The sequence below is a fragment of the Homo sapiens genome, chromosome 3 (assembly GCF_000001405.40).
Source record: "Homo sapiens chromosome 3, GRCh38.p14 Primary Assembly".
Classification (NCBI taxonomy): domain Eukaryota; kingdom Metazoa; phylum Chordata; class Mammalia; order Primates; family Hominidae; genus Homo; species Homo sapiens.
In genome coordinates this window covers 14336190-14354913 of record NC_000003.12, presented here as the reverse complement: position 1 = coordinate 14354913, position 18724 = coordinate 14336190, and the positions used below count along the sequence as shown (strand labels likewise).

Sequence of the window (18724 nt, the reverse complement as noted above, 5' to 3'; positions counted from 1 at the left end):
CCTGAGCCCCGGGCTGCCCTCCAACTCCTGGAGCCCTGGCAGTCCAAGTGAAGCTAGATGGGACCTGGCTGCACGTCTCTGCTCTCAGACCCCACCTCACATGTCACTCAGAGGCATCCTGGCTGGGGGGCTTGTTTGTGCTACAAGTCTAGTTTTTCATTTTTTTCTGGAGGTGGGGGATGGAGTTTCTGTCCCCCAGGCTGGAGTGCAGTGGCACGATCTCGGCTCACTGCCAACTCTGTCTCCCAGGTTCAAGCAATTCTTCTGCCTCAGCTGCCCAAGTAGCCGGGATTACAGGCGTGCACCACCATGCCCAGCTAATTTTTGTATTTTCAATAGAGACAGGGTTTTGCTGGACTCAAACTCCTGACCTCAAGTGATCCGCCCACCTCGACCTCTCAAAGTGCTGGGATTATAGGCATGAGCCACTGAGCCCGGCCTCAGGCATTCAGTTCTGTGATCAACTTGCCTTGGTTAAAACAAAGGAGCAAGAAATTTGTGGCAGGCATTTGATCCAGAAATGGGGTGAGCAGATGCGAGAGGGGAAGAAGGAGATACCAAGGTGGGCTGGGGGACCTGTGAGCCAGGGGAATTCATGTTTACAGGGCACTTGGCACCACGCTCTCGGTGGCTGTTATTGTGCCCATGGATAAGGAAATTGAGGCAAAGTGGCTGGCCAGCTGTGGAGCCAAGACTGGCTTTGGGTGTCTATGGCTCCCTGTCCAGTGCTCTTTGCAAGGCCAGCGAGTCCCTGTGGGCTGGGAGCCATTTTCTCCAGCCCTTCTCGGGTGGCCGTCAGAGACCCTGTCTAGCCGCAGAGCCTTCCCTTCCCAGAGGGCCCCTCTCCAGGGCAGAATTTCAAAACTAAAGCATGATGCTCACCTGGGACCCCAGCAAACAGCACAGGGGCCCAAGCCCCTCCAGCATTGTAGCAGTGGGTGTGGCTCTCAGGAATGCTGGGGCTGCAACCAGACAGACCTGGGTTCAAGTCCCGGCTTCACCGTCTACTCCCTGTCATGAACTTGACCACATTATGCATCCTGAGACTTGGTTTCATAGTCTGTGAAATGCAGGCAAAAAATATGCTGGGGAGGAGGGGATGAACTAGGAAGAGGAAAACTAGTAAAAATGAAAGTGGGCTGTGTGTCAATCCATCTTTCTGACCATCCCACACAGACTCCAGGCATGAGAAAGGCCACTAGAAGATCAGGAAGTGGAGGATTAACCCAGGCGGGGGCCCTGCTGGGAAACACAGGGCTCTACCCTGCAGGACCTCAGGGCCAAATCCTGTGTTGGGGCCACAGGATGGATTAGGCAGGCCTCTGCCTTTAAGGAGATCCCAGGCCAAAAGGAGAGGTGGGTTAACCTTACCCAGTCTAAGGGAGAAGGTGGACATTCCATCCAGTCTCAGGGGGGAGGCAGATACTCCATTCATTCTAAGTGGGGGATTCAGATGCTGTCTAACCTGGGCAGGGGACTGGAGGAGGGAAGAGCAATTGAGTCTAAGGAGGAAATGAACAGTCCATCCATTCTGGGGGTGTGGGAGCAGTGGACACACCTGTCCAGCTATATGACAGGCAGCTTTGATTTTGTATTTAGTGTTTCTGCAGTGGTTCAGAGTACCTGGTGTATATGCGAGGCTGCATGCATTCCCCATCATTTAAAAACTGTTTATAAAGCAGCTCCTCTGTAATCCTAGCACTTTGGGAGGCCGAGGCGGGCGAATCATCTGAGGTCACGCGTTCAAGACCAGCCTGGCCAACATGGTGAAACCCCGTCTCTACTTAAAAATACACACACACACACACACACACACACACACACACACACACACACACACAAATTAGCCGGGCATGATGGTGGGTGCCTGTGGTCCCAGCTACTCGGGATGCTGAGATGGGAGAATCAGGGAACCTGGAGACGGTGATTGCAGTGAGCCAAGATCACGCCACTGCACTCCAGCCTGGGCAGCTGAACGAGACTCCATCTCAAAAATAAAATAAAGTAACGTAAAATAAAATAAAGCAGCTCCTATGTGCTGGCTTCATGCCAGGTACTGGATGGAGGGTGATGGCCTTTGAAGCTAGCTGGGTGCTTTGGAAGCAGGCAGTGAGGTGGGAGTTAAGGATCCTCTTTGGGATTCAGAATGCAGAGGGGAGTGTGAACTGAGAACCCCTCTCTTGGGGCTGCCGATGTCAGGAACCCAGAGCACCAGAAGTTTTCCTTTAAGCCTTGTCTTCCCACAGTGCTTCCAAGGACAGGACACTGCAGGTACAGTTATCTGCTCTGTCACATCTGCACAGCATTGGTCATCTTGTTCTCTTCAGATACTGGACACTTGAAAGTTTGTCTCAATGATCTATTAATGCACTCAAACCACACTAAATTAGCTTTGTCATCTGGTCCAGGTTAGGCTGGGCAATTCTGCTGGTTTCATTTAGGCTCACCCAGGCAGCTGAAGACACCTTGGTGCAGCATGGTCTAAGTTGGCCTTGCCTGGCCTGGGGTAGCTGCCGTTGGCTGAGCCGTACATCTCCAGCAGGCTAGCCTGGGCTCCTCCATTGGATGCAGCCTTCCCAGAGCAAGCCACATGTGCAACCGCTTCCCAAGCCGCTGCTTACATTGCATTTGCTGCTGTCCCATTGGCTAAAGCGGGTCATGTGACCAAGCCGGCGGCCAATGTAGGAGAGGATTACACAAGAGGGGTGTGGCTCCTGGGCACTCATGGCTGTACCAACCTACGACCAATTCCCCTGAGCGCCAGGCTGTTTCCTGCCTCTGCACCATCGCCCAAGCTTTCCCCTTCGCTTGTTATGCCCTGCTGGGCGATCTCCTACTCGGGCAAGTCACAAGCTTCTCTGTGTCTCAGCCTCCTCCTCTGTAAAATGGGGATCACATGAGTTTAAGTTATTCTGAGGATTAAACAAGTTAACACACAAACATTTAAAACAGTGTCTAGCACGCAGTAGGTCCTCCAGAGATGCCAGCCATCACCATCACAGTGGTGATTCTTGGTATGACGACCCCTGCCCTCTTCAAAGCCCCGTTTAAGGAATCTCCTCTCTGAAGCTGTCTCTGGTTCTCTCCAGGCAAGCATCCTCCCCCAGGCCTGGCCCTATAATTATCTTTTCCTCATCCACCTACTCCATCTACAGTAGGATCCAGAGGGAAGGGAATCCCAGGGCCCAGCCCAGGGAGTGCGAACTATCTGATTTCCTCTGCAATTAGGGAGGCAAGACAGTCCTCGGTGGCCCCATTTGACAGAGGTGAAAACTGCCGCTGTAGGAGATGTGCTGATTTGCCCGGGGTTGCGCAGCTGGTAGGTGGGTGAGCTGGGAGTGGAGCCAGGTTGGGCTGTAGCAGCTGTGTTTGCCCTGCCTCACTGTCCAGCTCCCACCTGGGCCGGGTGTCGGGGTCTCAAAGAGAAGGCAGATACCGGCTCTGCCGCACAGAGCTCACAGTTTGGTGGAGGAGGAAGGCTCAAGCAGAGAGCAGGAGGTGTGAGTAGCTCTGTGGGCTGTGGGGGCCAGATGGGTCCTCGACCCTGCGGGGTCAGAGCTGGCTGCCCAGAAGACATGAAATGGAATAAGCAGAGTGACATGCTCTGGGCCACAAACAGGGTGTGTGGCCGCCCTGAACACATCACTGCAGCCACCTCCACAGCCACAGCCCTAGCCCTGTGGGTCATGGGGATGTGACCCTCCCCACTACCTCCCATCACTGAGGACACACCTCCTGGGCCTCCAGTAACTACCCAGGCCTCCACACCTGCTACACCATGATGGTGCAGCCCGCCTCCCCAACGCCTTCAGCCCTGTGGAAATTTTCTCTGGAGATTCTAATACCCCGGCCTCCTTGAGGTCAGTGTCTGCCCAGAGCCTCCCGGCAGGAGAGAAGAAACCCCACAGCTCTTTAGGGAATGCCTGCCTGTCCAAATGGACAAAGACAAGCTGTGCAGAAACCTCCCCTGGGAGGACTGAGCCATCACCTGAGGAATGGGAGTCTGTGGAAACGTGAGTCACCTCTGTGGGAATAAAGCCTTTCATCTGGACATCGAAATGGCCACCAGCTCCCTGAGTGACTTTGGGCAAGTCATGCCCCACTCCAAGCCTCAGAAAGCCGACCTGTGAGATGAGGATGAAAGTAACCCCCTCATGGGCCTGCCATCCCACCACCATGGCGCACTCCACCTGGTACGTAGTCAGTATTCAGGGAATGGTGGTAGGGCAGTAGTGTGAATAGCTTTAAACTGCAGGAGCTTTTAAAAACCTCTAGAATCTGCTGGGAAGAGTGGGGAGCACCTCAGTGACCAGTTAATGCATTAGGTAGTGGCCACGACTTTCACTAGCATTTGAGGCTTTATGGAGGGCTTGCTGAGAACATAGCAGAGTGCTGGGTATTGAAGCCCTGAAGAGTCATGTACAATCCACTTATAACCTACGCTTGCTCGCTTTAAAACAATACTCCTTTGGCCGGACACAGTGGCTCACGCCTGTAATTCCAGCACTTTGGGAGCTTGAGGCAGACGGATCACAAGGCCAGGAGTTCGAGACCAGCCTGGCCAACATGGTGAAAACCCGTCTCTACTAAAGATATAAAAAATTAGCCAGGCATGGTGGTGGGCACCTGTAATCCCAGCTACTCGGGAGGCTGAGGCAGGAGAATCACTTGAACCCTGGAAGGGAGGTTGCAGTGAGCTGAGATCGCGCCAATGCACTCCAGCCTAGCGACAGAGTGAGACTCCGTCTCAAAAAAAAAATTCATTTAATTGTATTTTACAGAGGGAGAATTTATATGTAGGAAGATTACCCTGTGTTAGGTTGGTAGGGCTGCCATTACAAAATATCACAGGCTGGGCTGGGGACTTCCACAACAGGAGTTTATTTTCTCAGTTCTGGAGGCTGGAAGTCCCAGATCGAGGTTTCGGCAGGGCTGATTTCTTCTGAGCCTCTCTCCTTGGCTTGCAAACAGTAGCCTTCTCCCTGCATCTTCACATCCATCTTCCCTCTGTGCCTGTCTGTGTCATTTTCTCTTATAAAGATGCCAGTCGATTAGGGCCCACCCTAATGACTTTGTTTCAACTTAGTCGACCCTTTAAAGACCCTGTCTGCAAAATACAGTCTTATTCTGAAGTGCTGGGGTTAGGGCTTTAGCATAGGAATTGGGGTAGGGGGCGGGAGGCACAGTTCAGCCCCTAGCACCCCTCTTTAAGTTTACAATCTGAGGAGTTTTTACAAATGCATACGCGACAGCCAAGATGCAGAGCAGATCATCGCCCCAAGGTAGTGCCCTCATGCCCCTGCAGACAGTCACCACCTCGCACCCCCACACCAGGTGAAAATGCCTGGTGGCCCCCTGTCGTGCAGGCTTAGTTTGTCTTCTCTGGAGTGTCAGGTAAGTGGGATCATGCCGTGTGTTCGTTTCATGGCTGGTGTTTTCCCTCCACAGAATGACCTTGAGGACTGTGACCGTTGCTGTGTGCATCTGTGCTGCTTCCCGTTTCATTGCTGAGTGGTGTTCCTGTAAATGGATATGCCACTGTCTGCTTCTTCACTCACCAGGTAAGGGACACACTGACAGTTCCAGGTCAGGCTCATGATGGGTAAAGCTTCCACTCACATCTGGGCACAGGTCTTTTATGGCCCTGCTTTTCATTTCTAGTTGGTTTCCCCACCTAGGTGTAAAATTGCTAGATTGCATGGGAGGTGGGTGTTTAGCTTCATAACTGCCTTGCAGGGTGATTCCCACACCCCCATCAGCCGTGTTTGAGGTCCTGATTGCTCCGACATTGATAGTTCAGTCCTTTTCACTTTAATTCTAAAGGGTGTGCACTGGCATCTCGTGGTTTAACTTGCACTTCCCTGGTGGCTGGTGAAGTTGAGCATCTTCCCATGTGTTTATTCGTCGTCACATTTCTTTTAACCATTTTTAATTGGGTTGTCATTTAGAAAATTGTGGTAAAAGATACATAACATACAATTTACCATCTTAATTTAATCAATTCAGTGACATTAAGTGCATTCATGTGTTGTGCAGTTGTCACCACCATCCTTCTCCAGAACTCTTTTTTGTCTTCCCAAACTGAACCCCTGTCCCCATTAAACACTAACTCCTCATTCTCCTCTCCCCTCAACTCCCAGCCCCAGGCACCCCGCCATTCTACCGACTGTCTCTATGAATGTGACTACCAGGATCAAGGAACTTCATACCAGTTGAACCATACAGTATTTGTCCTTTTGTGACTGGCTTATTTCACTGAACATAATAGCCTGAAGGTTTATCCATGTTGTATGATGTGTCAGAATTTCCTTCCTTTTTAAGGCTAAATAATATTCTATTGTGTGCAGAGATCAATTGTCTTTATCCATTCATCTGTTAATGAACACTTGGGTTGGTTCCACCTTTTGGTTATTATGAATAGTACTGTGATGAACATGAGTGCAAATATATCTGTTTGAATTCCTGTTTTCTTTTCTTTTTTTTGAGACAGGGTCTTGCTGTGGTACCCAGGTTGGAGTGCAGAGGCATGATCTTGGCTCACTGCAGCCGCCACCTCCCAGGAGTGATCCTCCCACCTCACCCTCCCAAATAGGTGGGACTACCAGCATGCACCGACACACCTAGCTAATTTTTGTTATTTTTTGTAGAGAGGGGGTTTTGTCATGTTGCCCAGGTTGGTCTTGAACTCCCGGGGTCAAATGATCCACCTGCCTTGGCCTCCTGAAGTACTAGGATTGCAGGCATGAGCCACCATGCCCAGACTAATTCCTGTTTTCAATTTTAGGTAGTCATTTGATTATTGAGTTGTAGAAATCTTACTTTTGGATTAATATATTAAAAACTATCACCAGTTAGCCATGTGTTAACTGCTTAGTTTTTCAACCAAACTTCAATCATCAGCCAGCCCTCACTTTCAGCCCAGATCGACGGGCTCAACGCTTGGTGATCGGTTAACTCCTTGTTTTTTAGCTAATGCTTTAATTAGCAATTACCATCTTTGTCTTCAGCTAAACATCATACTTCTCAATGCTTTGGTTATCAGCTAATGTCTTCTTTTTCAGCTAACACTTTAGTGGACATTAATACCCTTGTTAACGTATGTTACTTCAACCAGATTAGACCTGGCTGCATTGGGAAAGGAAAGTGGGGGGCTTGACAAGGAACGTGAAGACATTAAAGGCAAAACCTCTGAGTTAATGAAGGGAGTCCTCCAAGAGAGTTCTTTCCTTCACGAGCTGGAGCCTGGCTCTCCATGAAAGCTTTTTGAATGAATGAATGAATGGGTGAATGAGCGCATGAGTGGGTAGTGGGTGCAGGGCCACACTCCTTCTCCTGGGGATGGCAGAGCTTGCTCAGCCCCAGAGCCAGTGGCTTTCACTCTCACATCTTGCTGACAAATGATGCTACCCAGAAATGCTTGGAACGCAGTCATTTCAGTGGGGCATCTGAGGCCTGGGGACCATACTTTGGACCTTGGTATCCTCTGGCCCACGGACACCAGAGCAACAGCATCCTCTGCTGCACCCAGGCTGCCGCAGGGCTCTGATGGTGGCTCTGAATCTCCCCCTCCTGAGCCTTTTATTCCTGAGTTGGCCATGTGACCCCCGGTGGGGCATGTGACCTCTCTAGACCCATATCCGTGTGACCTGGCCCATGTGGGGCCCCCTGATCCCATCTCCTGCCTTTGCCCCATTAGCCTAGGGCACTCTCAGCTGGCTCCCACCTCAGGGCCTTTACACTGGCTCTTCCCTCTGCCTGAACCCTCTTCTCCCAGACGTTGGCTCCTTCCCTTCTTGGGGTCTCGGCCCAGAGGTCACCTCCTCAGAGATGGCTTTCCTGACTGCCCCCGGAGGCATGGGGTCAGCCCAGCTGGCTGTACCTTCATTCCCTGGGTGGTCTCAGTGCCTGAGGGGGCACCTGCTCACTGTCAGGCCCAGAGTCTCTGTCCTGAGTGTGTGGGGAGCACAGGAAACTGGGCTGCAGTGTTCGGGACCCTCCACCTGCTGGTTAAACCTGATAAGAAAACCATCTGCCATTTGCCGATGCCCTTAGAAGGATGGTATCTAAGCCAGATTTCACAGTTGGGGAAAAGGGCTCAGAGAGGGGAGTGGTTTCTCAGTGGCCACACAGCAGCTCGGGGTGGAGGTTGCACATCCACGCCCTGCTGGAACCCCCAGCTGCCTCTTCTGGCTCAGTCCCTGTCCCTCTGGCTTCCCTAAGATTGGCCCCTTTCTCTATAAAACTGGCCTCAGACTCCACAAAGTAAGGCAGCCAGTGGGTCACAGTGGGTCCACTCAGAGTGGCTGGCCCCTTTCTCTATAAAACTGGCCTCAGACTCCACAAAGTAAGGCAGCCAGCGGGTCTACTCAGAGTGGCTGGACCCTGGATTTCTATCACCTCTGTGTCTGAGTCCCATCTGCCTGTGAGTGCATGGGGCCTCTGTGTGGACTGGGAAGAGTGAAGTCAGGTGACCGACTCGCCCCGTTTGTCTGGGATGTTCTCATTCTGCACACTGCAAGTCTTGCCTCCTGGGAAACATCTCAGGACTGGGCAAATTGGTACTGCTGGTTGCACTCGAGGGAAGGGAGGGCCCGAGGGGAGGCCCAGCCCCTGCAAAGCCTGGGATGTGGGAATGGAAGTGTGTGAGCTGCAAATATGGCTGCCCTGGCTTGGGGAACCCCGCTGGGCTTGGGGAGCAGGAACGAGAGAAAGAGGAGGAACGTGATACCAGAGGCCCCAAATGCCAAGCACAAGATTTGGGCATAAGGCACCCATGTGACTTCTTGCTAGCTGCTCCTGGAGGAAGGAGCTGTTGGGAGAAGAAAACTAAGCCCCTGGGACTGGCTGTGGGCCCCTCTACCCTCTGTAACCCGCCCTGGAGACAGGAGATGGGGGCTGATCCTCTTGCCCCACCAGCCCCCTGGGCGTTCTGACACACTGGGTTCTTTCTTAGAGAAGAATTCAGTAACAAAACACTAAACAACACCCTGTGACTCAGCCCCTGCTTGAGGGACTTTGCAAGGGGTGGACAGAGAGAGAAGCTAGCCCCAGATAGCCGCTGCTCTGTCTGGGGTTCTGTAATTGGAAATGTTCTCCTGCCTGTCCCAAAGCCAGAGGCCGTGGGATCCTGGGGCCCAGACTGACCTTGGTCTGCTCCTCCCCAGAAGGGCTGTACATGCCTTTGGTTTAGGGGTGTTGGAGGCTGAATACAGTCAGGTTCTTGGCTTGGAGCCAGCTCGGCTACTAAAGGGCATCAGGAAAAGTCCCAACAACAGAAATGTTGACTGCATTCCCAGCCCGTTTTACAAACCAGCTCACAGAGGTTGAGACAGGGCACACAGTCTACCAGGTCTTCACCCTGTGGATACTCCAGCACCCAACCCAGAGCCAGCTGAGTCTGAGTTCGTGGAATGGAGGAGGCCGGAGGCAGCGTGTCAGCATCGTGGCGGTGCCTTCAGTGTACGTGGAATGGAGGAGGCCGGAGGCAGCGTGTCAACATTGCAGTGGTGCCTTCCATGCGCTCCGCTGCACCCGCTGCTCTTTCAGAGCTCCTCGGAGGGTTTCCTGAAGACAGTCCTGCTGCAAGTCTCTTGGTTCTCCCTGTGTGCTCCCCGGAGCAGCAGCAGCCTCCCCTGGAACTTGGCCCCTCCTCAGACCAGATGCTCTGGTGGGGGTATGCTCCTACTTCTGTGTGAACCCTCAGCCCTGCCCTGGGATTCTGAGGTTCACTCAAGGCTGAAAAGTCCTGCCCTAGTCCAATGCAAGAGAGGAAACTGAGGCCCAGGGAGGTCTCCCTCGCTCATGGCAGAGCCCAGAACCCAAACTGGTTGTCTTCTAGCTGCACCTTCCTCTTCCTCTGGGCTCCCCACCAAAAATAGGTGCTTTTCTTGGAATAGGATAACTTCTTTTGCCTTGAAAGTAACTTACTGATGTTTCTCCCCCCAGGACTGGGAAGTCCTTGAGAGTAGAAGGGACATCGGCTTCATCCCTGTCTTCTAAGGCCCCATCACCATGCCTGGCATGTGCTCATTAAATTAACGCCTTTTAAGAGCTCTCTTTTATACAGTTTACTTACTGGCTAACTTGCTCTTCTGCTCCCCCACCTCCACTCCTTGGCAACTTAACCCCCTCCATTCCTCTTGGGCATAGCCTGGACAGAGAGGGCAGTGTGAGCAGCTGTGCTCCATGGCTGATCAGGATAGCCCAGCACAAGGTCCCCAGCTCAGCCCAGTGTCTCCCCCTTTCTCAGGGTCTCTTCCCAATCCAGTGAGTTTTTTCCAGCTGAGACAGGTTGGCTAAGCTCAGCACGACACTATCCCCTGCAGTCCTCAGCTGCCTTACTCACATTCCCATGTCCCCTCCTCCCTTTCAGCAGTGTCTCTGCCTTTCTAGGATGTCTCAGCCCTTCCAACCGCCAGGCCCCTGGCTCTCAGATGCTCAGAATCACCACTGCTCTCTTTGCTTGGTGTCAGCCCATCTCTGCGCTCTTCCTTTCCCAATTGTCGGCACACTCTCCAGTGTTCTCACGCCCCTTCTCGTTCTAGGAGGGGGCTTTCCAACTCGGGACTCATCTGAATCAGGTGAGAAAAACTCCACAGCAGCAACGGGATTCAGAGGTGGGCTAGGTGGGTCCCACCCCTCCTCAGGGCCCAAGAAGTACAGGAGTGCACAGTAATCCCACGGGACAGGGCTCAGCACCACGTGATGTTTAAACACCTCATTCTAACCTGTGCCGGAGAAAGGAATTAGGCTGCAAGTGACCCCATGCCCAGGGCAGCTGCTAAACCGTTCAGCTCCCCTCCTTCCTCCCTCCCTGCCCCTGGCCTGGATACTGGTACCAGCCTCCCCCTGGGCTCCCGGCCTCCAGTCTTACCCCTCTCCAGTCTGTCCTTGGCACAGCTGTGACCATATCTCACCATTTATAACAACCCCTTTATAAAGCCAGTCTGAGTCCTCAGCCTGGCATTCAAGGCCCTTGACGGTCTGACCCCAACTAGACATCCCGGCTTCATCTCGCACCAGCACCGCCCATGCGACCTCGGACCCAGAGACACCGATCTCCAAACACAACTGGTCCTTCACACTTTGGGCCTCTGCACTGCTCTTTCGTCCCCTCCTCTGGGCCATTCATCCCATTAATGACTCATTCCACACTGACTACTAACCCACTGTGAGAGGCCCTGGATACTCTGAGATGGAAGAACAAAAATCTGTTCCCTGGTCTCATGACCCGTCCAGTCTGGGCTGGGGGACAGAAATGACTCAAAGGAGCACACAAATAAATGCACACGCTGGGACGGGGCTTCAGACGTGAGGGACACGACACTGGAGGGGTGACACGGGCTGAAAGATCCCGGTGGGCTCCCCAGGGGCGGTGTCTGAGTGGGAGTGAATCAGGAAGGAGGGCAGGAATAGAGTGTTCCAAGCAGAGGGAATAGCATGGCAAGGGCCCTAAGGCGGGTGGGAGCAGGGTGAGGCTGGCCGCACGCCTGGGCCAGGCTGGGCACTCAGAGCCTGCCATTTGTGTTTAATGCTCCTGGTTGCCGGCTTTAAATTTGTAATAACTTTATCTTTGATTTTGTGATGTTTTGGGGTTTGCTTTTTTTTGAGAAAGGGTCTCACTCTGTCACCCAGGCTGGGGTGCAGTGGCACAATCACGACTCACTGTAGCCTCTGCCTCCCAAGCTGAAACCCTCTTCTCACCTCAGTCTCCCAAGTAGCTGAGACCACAGGTGCACACCACCACACCAGGATCCTTTTTTCTTTTTTAGAAATGGGGTCACACTATATTGCCCAGGCTGATCTTGAACTCCTGGCCTTAAGCAATCCTCCTGCCTTGGCTTCCCAAAGTGCTGGGATTACAGATGTGAGCCACCAGGCCTGGCCTGAATTTGTGTCTGTGTGTGTGCGTGTGCATGTGTGTGTGTGTGTGTTTGAGATGGAGTCTTGCTCTGTCACCCAGGCTGGAGTGCAGTGGTGCAATCTTGGCTCACTATAACCTCCGCCTCCTGGGTTCAAGCGATTCTCCTGCCTCAGCTTCCTGGGTAGCTTGGACTACGGGCGCCCGCCAACACACCCTGCTAATTTTTTGTATTTTTAGTAGAAACGAGGTTTCATCGTGTTAGCCCAATGATCTCGATCTCCTGACCTCGTGATCTGCCCGCCTCGGTCTCCCAAAGTGCTGGGATTACAGGCGTGCGCCACCGCACCCAGCTGAATGTGTGTTTTGTAAGTGAAAGCCTGTGGGACAGTGGAGTGTGTGCCCAGGGGACTTGGAGCCTTGGCTTGCTCACATGGGCTCCTGCCTCCTGGCACCTCTCCAGGACATTAAAGGTCCCACCCATGACCTCATCCTCTGGCACCCCAGGCCCTACCCAATCACTGCTGCCGCCTTTCTCCAGGGGCCTGGGCGCTGGCACACAGAGGGTCAGGATCGGGTGTGTGTCTCAGGGAAGGGCAAGGCAGGAGCAGGCCTTGCTCCACACTGGCAGCACTGGAAACATTGGGTAGGCAGCTCCAGATGGCGGGGGGCAAGGCACCTAACACAAGAGACCTGCCCCAGCCGGGAAGTGTCGGTACCGTTGTGGGTTGCCTGTCTACCATGCATTGGAGTGGCATGCCCACGGGAAGGGGAGATGCCTGACTTGGTCTCCCCACTTGTCTGCGGCATGGCCTGCTGTTGGGTAGTTGGCAGGAGAGAAAACCTGAAAGCTGCTTCACACGTGCCCGATGAGTAGGGGAGCCTGAGTCCCAGGCCCCTGGGAGAGTCCCCCACGAGCATTCCTGCACTCAAGAGAATGTGACATTAAATTGTAAACACAAAACACCATGACAGGCCAAGAAAAAACACCACGATGGGTTGAGAAAAAACGACGCAAGAATAGAAGAGTTTCATATTTTAGACTTTTAATGACATTTCAAAACACAGCCTTTTGGCTGAATGCGGTGGCTCACACCTATAATCCCAGCACTTTGGGAAGCCGAGATGGGTGAATTGCTTGAGTCCAGGAGTTTGAGACCAGCCTGGGCAACATGGCGAAACTTCATCTCTACAAGAAATACCAAATTGTAGTGGCGCATACCTGTAGTCCCAGCTACTCAGGAAGCTGAGGAAGGATGATCGATTGAGCCCAGGAGGTTGAGGCTGCAGTGAACCATGATCGCGCTACTGCGCTTCAGCCTGGGAGACACAGCGAGATCCTGTCTCAGTAATAATAAGAAGAAATAAAATAAAACAGAGTCTTTCGAACAGGGCCCTAGATATTCATTCTATACGAGGCCCTGCAAATTAGGGAGTGGACCTGGGGCAGGACACATTCGAGGACTCTAGGCAGGCACTGTGACCGGACAGAGGAAAGCGGGCAGGGAGCAGGCTGCCGCCCACCAGGTCTGGAGGACTTGGCACATCCTCTCCCCAGGCTGCAGTGGTCAGAGTAATCAAATCCTCTTTCACAGGGAGAGGAAACAGGGCTCACGGAAAGAAAGGTCTCTTTCCTCTGAGCGGCCCAGACCCTGTTTGGCTGCAAGCCGGTTCACAGGATACAGCCTTTTCTGGGAGGGGGGTGGTCCTCACGCCCAGGGGTGCTCTTTGGGTACAGATCATGGTGGGGCGGTGGCAAAAGTGGGAGGGAGTGGCACAGATAGCCAGGGGTCTGGAGCCTGCCAATGCCCTAAGCCACCCACCAGCGTCCTGGCCCCAAATACCTGAACAGCCATTCTGAGCCTGCCCATCAGATAAAGGGTATTCTTACATCATGTCTCTCTCAGCCCCCAGCACTGATGGTGCCAGCTCTTAGCCAACCATAGGGGTGAGTTTCAAAACAGCAAGAACAGAAGTAGGAGGACGCTGGAGGGGCAGATATGTTTTTCCTCTGACTTTCCTAAACCTTCCCACAAAGCCCCTCGCTTCCCAGGGCCATGTTTTTGTGGTAAAGAGAGACCAAGGACCAGCATCTGCAGGCAGACATTCGATCTAGCCCTGGACTACAGGATCAAACTCAAGACACTCCGTTAAATTGGAATTTCAGATAAGCAAGCAGTTTTAAAATATATATATAAGTATGTCCCAAATATTGCATAGGACATGCTTATACTAAAAAATTATTTGTTCTCTATCTGAAATTCCAATGTAAGTGGACATCTTTCATTGTATTTGCTTAATTTTGCAACCTTACTTCTACCTAGCCTGTGACAGCTTCACCTCTCAACAGAAACTCCAAAACTATCTCCAGGGCCCCTGTGGTTCAAGCCCAGGCACACATTTTCAAGAAGCCCCAGATGAGAGTGACACATTTCCCCATTTGTGATCCAAGGTCCAGACAGCGGAAGGCTTTGCCTGAAGCCACACAGTGGGTATCTGACCTGGACACATGGGTGGTGCTTGGCACTTTCAAACGCCCCTCGGACCACCACTGGGTGAATTGGGTGTTGGTGGCTCCATTTTACAGAGAAGGAAACAGGTCCAGGAATGGGGAGGGTTTACCAGGGCTCACAAGAAGTCTAGCCCCCGTCTATAAGACTGACACTGACTAACACTAACCCTAGCCCTAACCGAAGGCTTCAGCCTCCCCAGTCACCACCCTCCCCCTGGCTTGATGGCTAACGATAGAAGGTTCTGGGAAATAGATGTGGTTTGAACCTCAGCACCTCCACTCACTGTCTGGGTGACCTGGGCCAGGTGCTTCCTTTCCTGGAACCTCAGTTTTATCATTTGTAAAATGGGGATGATGATGTGCCACCCTCCTAGAAGTAGTGGTGATGGAGTGAAGGAAATCTGTGAAGCCGATACCTTCTGCACATCCGGCCCTCAGTAGCTGCACCCAGCTCGTCCCAGCCACTCTCTGCCCACTCCCACCAGCCCTTTTCCCCTGTGCTGGCCCCAGAGGCCTCCCCTGATGTCAAGGCTGGGAGGTGGCTCGGGGGCCTAGAGGGAGAGACCACCACCACCCCCTCGAAAGACGTAGAGGCAGAGCAGACAGAACCGGGAGACTCAAGAGCCTGCAGAGCACCAGGCACAGTGGCTCACTCCAGCACTTTGTGGGGCTGAGGCGGGAGGATTGCCTGAAGCCAGGAGTTCGAGATGCAGTGAGCTGTAATCACACCGCATTGCATGCACTCCAGCTGGGGCAACAAAGTGAAACTCTGTCTCTAAAAACAAACAACAAAAAAACCCAAACCAAGGGTCCGCAGAGCCCATCTCATCTCTCACCTTCGCCCACCTCTCCTGTGCCTCTGGTGGCTCTGCCTCCAGGCCTCTGCGTGTGTCCCCTCTGCTCGTTATGCCCCTCTGCTGCCCATCACCAGGCTGGCTCAGAGTCTCCCACGGGCTGGAAGCCCACTGCCCCCTGGCTTCCCTAGGCTGCCCATATCTAGTGTAACAACAAGGAGAGTGACAATAGCTCACGCTCATCTAGTCCTTGGTAGTCACCATGCACTTCTAAGCACTTTGTGTATGTGGAGTCATTTAACTTTCACACCAGCCGTATAACATAGACTCCATTTTCACCTCCACATCACGGAGAGGGCAGCAGCTTCCCCAAGGTCATGCAGCTGGTCAGTGGCAGAGCCCGGGCCTGAACCCAAGCAGCACAGCTGCAGTCGGTCTGTGTTCCCAAGTCATGGCTCTGCTACTTCCCCAGCACCTCATACAGACCCAGCATGTAGTAGGTGTTCAATAAATCATTGTCAAATGGATGACAAGAAGTATCCTATCAGATTACACTTTGCTTTTTCTGGGTCTATGTTCCTGATAAAATCTTTACTCTTTGAAGGCCAGGACAAGCTGGTATTTGTCTCATGACCAGCACAGAGCCTGGTACACAGTAGGTGCTCAATAAATGCTTGGGGAATAAACAAAAGAATGAATGAACCAGAGGAGGTGGTTTAGAGGCCTAAAAAGATAAACAGCGAGGAAGGTGGCCCATAATTTCCCCTGCAAATGAAGCAGCAGTGAGTTGAACGTGGACACTAAGTCCATTCTGACAACCTTTGTTATGTGCTTGAGACGACTGGCCATGCAGGGTGACAAGGGGCACGCTGCCCAGGTGAGGAGGCAGCTGAGCTCCTGGAAGGCCCCCAGAGAGTGTCCTCTCCAGCATGCTTCCTGCTGGGTCACTTACTCAGATTTAAAAAAAAAATGTATTGAAATATAATCATATGCCAAAAAATTAAACCATTTAAAATGTACAGTAAAGTGGGTTTTTTTAGTTTATTTATAGAGTTGCATAACCATCAGCACTATCTAATCTTAGAACATTTTCATCACCCCAAAAGAAACTCTCTACCCATTAGCAGCTCCTCCCCATCTCTACCTCCTGACCCCCATGCCCTGGCAACCACAAATCTACTTTTGTCTCTATGGATTTGCCTATCCTGGACGCTTCATATAAATGCAATAGTACATGATGGGGTCGTTTGTGTCTGGCTTCTTTCACCTGCCTAATGTTTTCAAGGCTCATCCATGTTGTGGCTTGTGTCAGTACTTTATTCCTTTTTATGGCTGCATAATATTCCACTGTACGGATACACCACATTTTATTTATCCATTTATCAATTCATGGTCACTTTTTCTCAATTCTTGGCCATTATGCATAATGTTGCTATAAATATCGGTGTACAGGTTTTTGTGTGAAAAGATGTTTTCCTTTCTCTTGGGTGTATACCTAGGAGTGGAGTTGATGAATCCTATAGGAACTCTACGCTTAGCATTTTGCTCCTTCTTAGTTTGGAGGAGGTCAGGAACTATTTAACGGTAATCTTTCTTGAACAATTTAAAAATACATTCCAACAGCCAAGCCATCCTGTAGCATCTGCAAAGCTTGGGCTGAGCTCCAAATAGAGGGTTCTTGAAGGGACTAGGCACGTCTCAGTGAGTTCAAATCCTGCTTTGCCATTTGCTGTGTGACTTTGCTCAAGTGTCTCCACCTCTCAGGATCACAGCGTCCTCAGCTATGAAAGGGAGGTATTAACATCCAACTCGAAGGGATTTTGTGAGGATTAAATGTGATATCTGAAGCCTGCCCGGCATGCTGTAGGGGCTCAGTACAAGATGTAGATGTCAGTGCAGCAAACACATGTTTATTCCTGCCCTGTGCTGGCTGCTGTCATCTCACAGCTGGGAAGACTGAAGACCAGGAAGGATTGGGATTTTCCCAGAATCAGGGAAGTGAGTTCAAGTACGGGGGACCCTTCCTGTCCCTTAGACACATTCGAGACAACGGAGGGGTCAGGTCAGAGCACCCCCAAGTCATGCTGAAGTTCTCACTTTGACCCCTTCTCTTCCCGCCAATTGAAATCATCAGCTGTGCCTTGGGAGGAGGAGTCTTCCCCTCTCTGTGCTTCGGTTTCCTCGACTGTAAAATGTACTTCCCTCAAATGGTGGCTGTGACGATTAAGTGAGATAATGTGTGTAAGATTAAGCTCTAGAGGCTAGTATGTATGAAGTGTCCAGCACATAGGAGCTGTTGCTTCCAGCTATCAAGAGGGATGCAGAGGCAACAGTGAGAACTAAAACAGCAATCCAAAACCAGGCACACCCATCACAGTGGCTGCGAGGAGAAACACAGACAAATGGCAAGTTGGTGAAGAGGTGGAGCGACTGGAACTCTTACGTGCAGCTGGCAGGAGTATCAGACGGTATAGGCACGTTGGAAAACTTGGGCAGAACCTACCAAAGCTCAACATACACATATGCTGTGACCCAGCAATACCACCCCTAGCCGTTTACCGAACAGAAGCGTGTGCTTATGATCACCGAAGGACTTGTTCCAGAATGTGCAGCCCTGTTTGTAATAGCGCCAAGCTGGAAACAACCCACACATCTAACAACAGGAGACTGGGCAAATGGCCTGGGGTAGTTTTCTACAAGGGAATATGTGACAGCATGAGAGCGAACGAACCAGAGCAAACCAGACACAACCACCTGGGTGAATCTCACAGATGTGCAGTTGAGCAACAGCAGCCAAGCACCAAGGGGTACATGGTGCAGGATGCCATTTGTATAGAGCACAGGACAGCTACTTCTGCTTTCTGGAGTCAGAGTCAGGGGAGTGACCCCCTTGGGGGAAGGAGCATGTGGGGGCTTCCACAATGCCCGTTATATTCTGCTTCTCATTCTGGGTGACACGGGTGTGCTCAGGTTGTGAAAATGCATAAAGCTCTACATGCGTCATTTGTGCTTTTTTCTGCATGAATGTTTTACTTTGAAAAGTTTACTGAGAAATACAAGCTTATGCATTTTGCAAGAATGCGTGCAAAAGGGCAGGCATTCCACCCTGTAGACTGGTCACCTGTGCTGGCCAAGTTCGTCACCTGCATTGGCAAACAGGAAAAGAGAAGAGTAAATAAGGAAATTGGCATGGAGGGTGGTGCTTGCCTGGGCCAATGAGGATCATGTGCCTGGCACATGGCGGGGATGGGGGTGTAATTCAGTACTCAGCACTGAGGCTCAAAGGGAAAAAAATTTCTGCCCTAGGGATGGGGCTCTAGTGTGACTGATCGTTACAAGATTTAAAAAGAAAAAAGAAAAATGTAAATGCTTCTATGCCGAGGCCACACTTTCTTGCTCAACACCCCTCCTTCTGGCTTGCAGGTGTTTCCACTACTCTGCAGTTCCCAGTGTTGGGGACAGTGGACAAGTCTGGTGTTACCATGGTAACCACAGTCAATCTAATCCTAACTGCTTACCAGCACTCCTTTGTGCCAGGCACAGTACTAGACCCTTTGC

At 51.8% G+C, this 18724-nt stretch overlaps 1 long non-coding RNA gene across 1 annotated transcript, besides 3 other annotated features; it reads left to right on the top strand.

Annotated features, from left to right (window-relative positions):
- Nucleotides 116–673: an enhancer, noted in NCBI's record as "H3K27ac-H3K4me1 hESC enhancer chr3:14395741-14396298 (GRCh37/hg19 assembly coordinates)". NCBI's record gives its function as "activates a minimal SCP1, AML or CMV promoter by ChIP-STARR-seq in primed H9 embryonic stem cells {active_cell/tissue: H9 hESC(primed)}" and the evidence as "EXISTENCE:reporter gene assay evidence [ECO:0000049][PMID:30033119]".
- Nucleotides 674–1231: an enhancer, noted in NCBI's record as "H3K27ac-H3K4me1 hESC enhancer chr3:14395183-14395740 (GRCh37/hg19 assembly coordinates)". NCBI's record gives its function as "activates a minimal SCP1, AML or CMV promoter by ChIP-STARR-seq in primed H9 embryonic stem cells {active_cell/tissue: H9 hESC(primed)}" and the evidence as "EXISTENCE:reporter gene assay evidence [ECO:0000049][PMID:30033119]".
- Nucleotides 1792–2349: an enhancer, noted in NCBI's record as "H3K27ac-H3K4me1 hESC enhancer chr3:14394065-14394622 (GRCh37/hg19 assembly coordinates)". NCBI's record gives its function as "activates a minimal SCP1, AML or CMV promoter by ChIP-STARR-seq in primed H9 embryonic stem cells {active_cell/tissue: H9 hESC(primed)}" and the evidence as "EXISTENCE:reporter gene assay evidence [ECO:0000049][PMID:30033119]".
- LINC01267 (long intergenic non-protein coding RNA 1267) lies at nucleotides 2346–6463 on the top strand. Its single transcript, NR_110135.1, has 3 exons — nucleotides 2346–4193; nucleotides 5449–5561; nucleotides 6141–6463. It is a non-coding gene; the product is annotated as a long intergenic non-protein coding RNA 1267 (long non-coding RNA).
- The last annotated feature ends 12261 nt before the right edge of the window (nucleotides 6464–18724 follow it).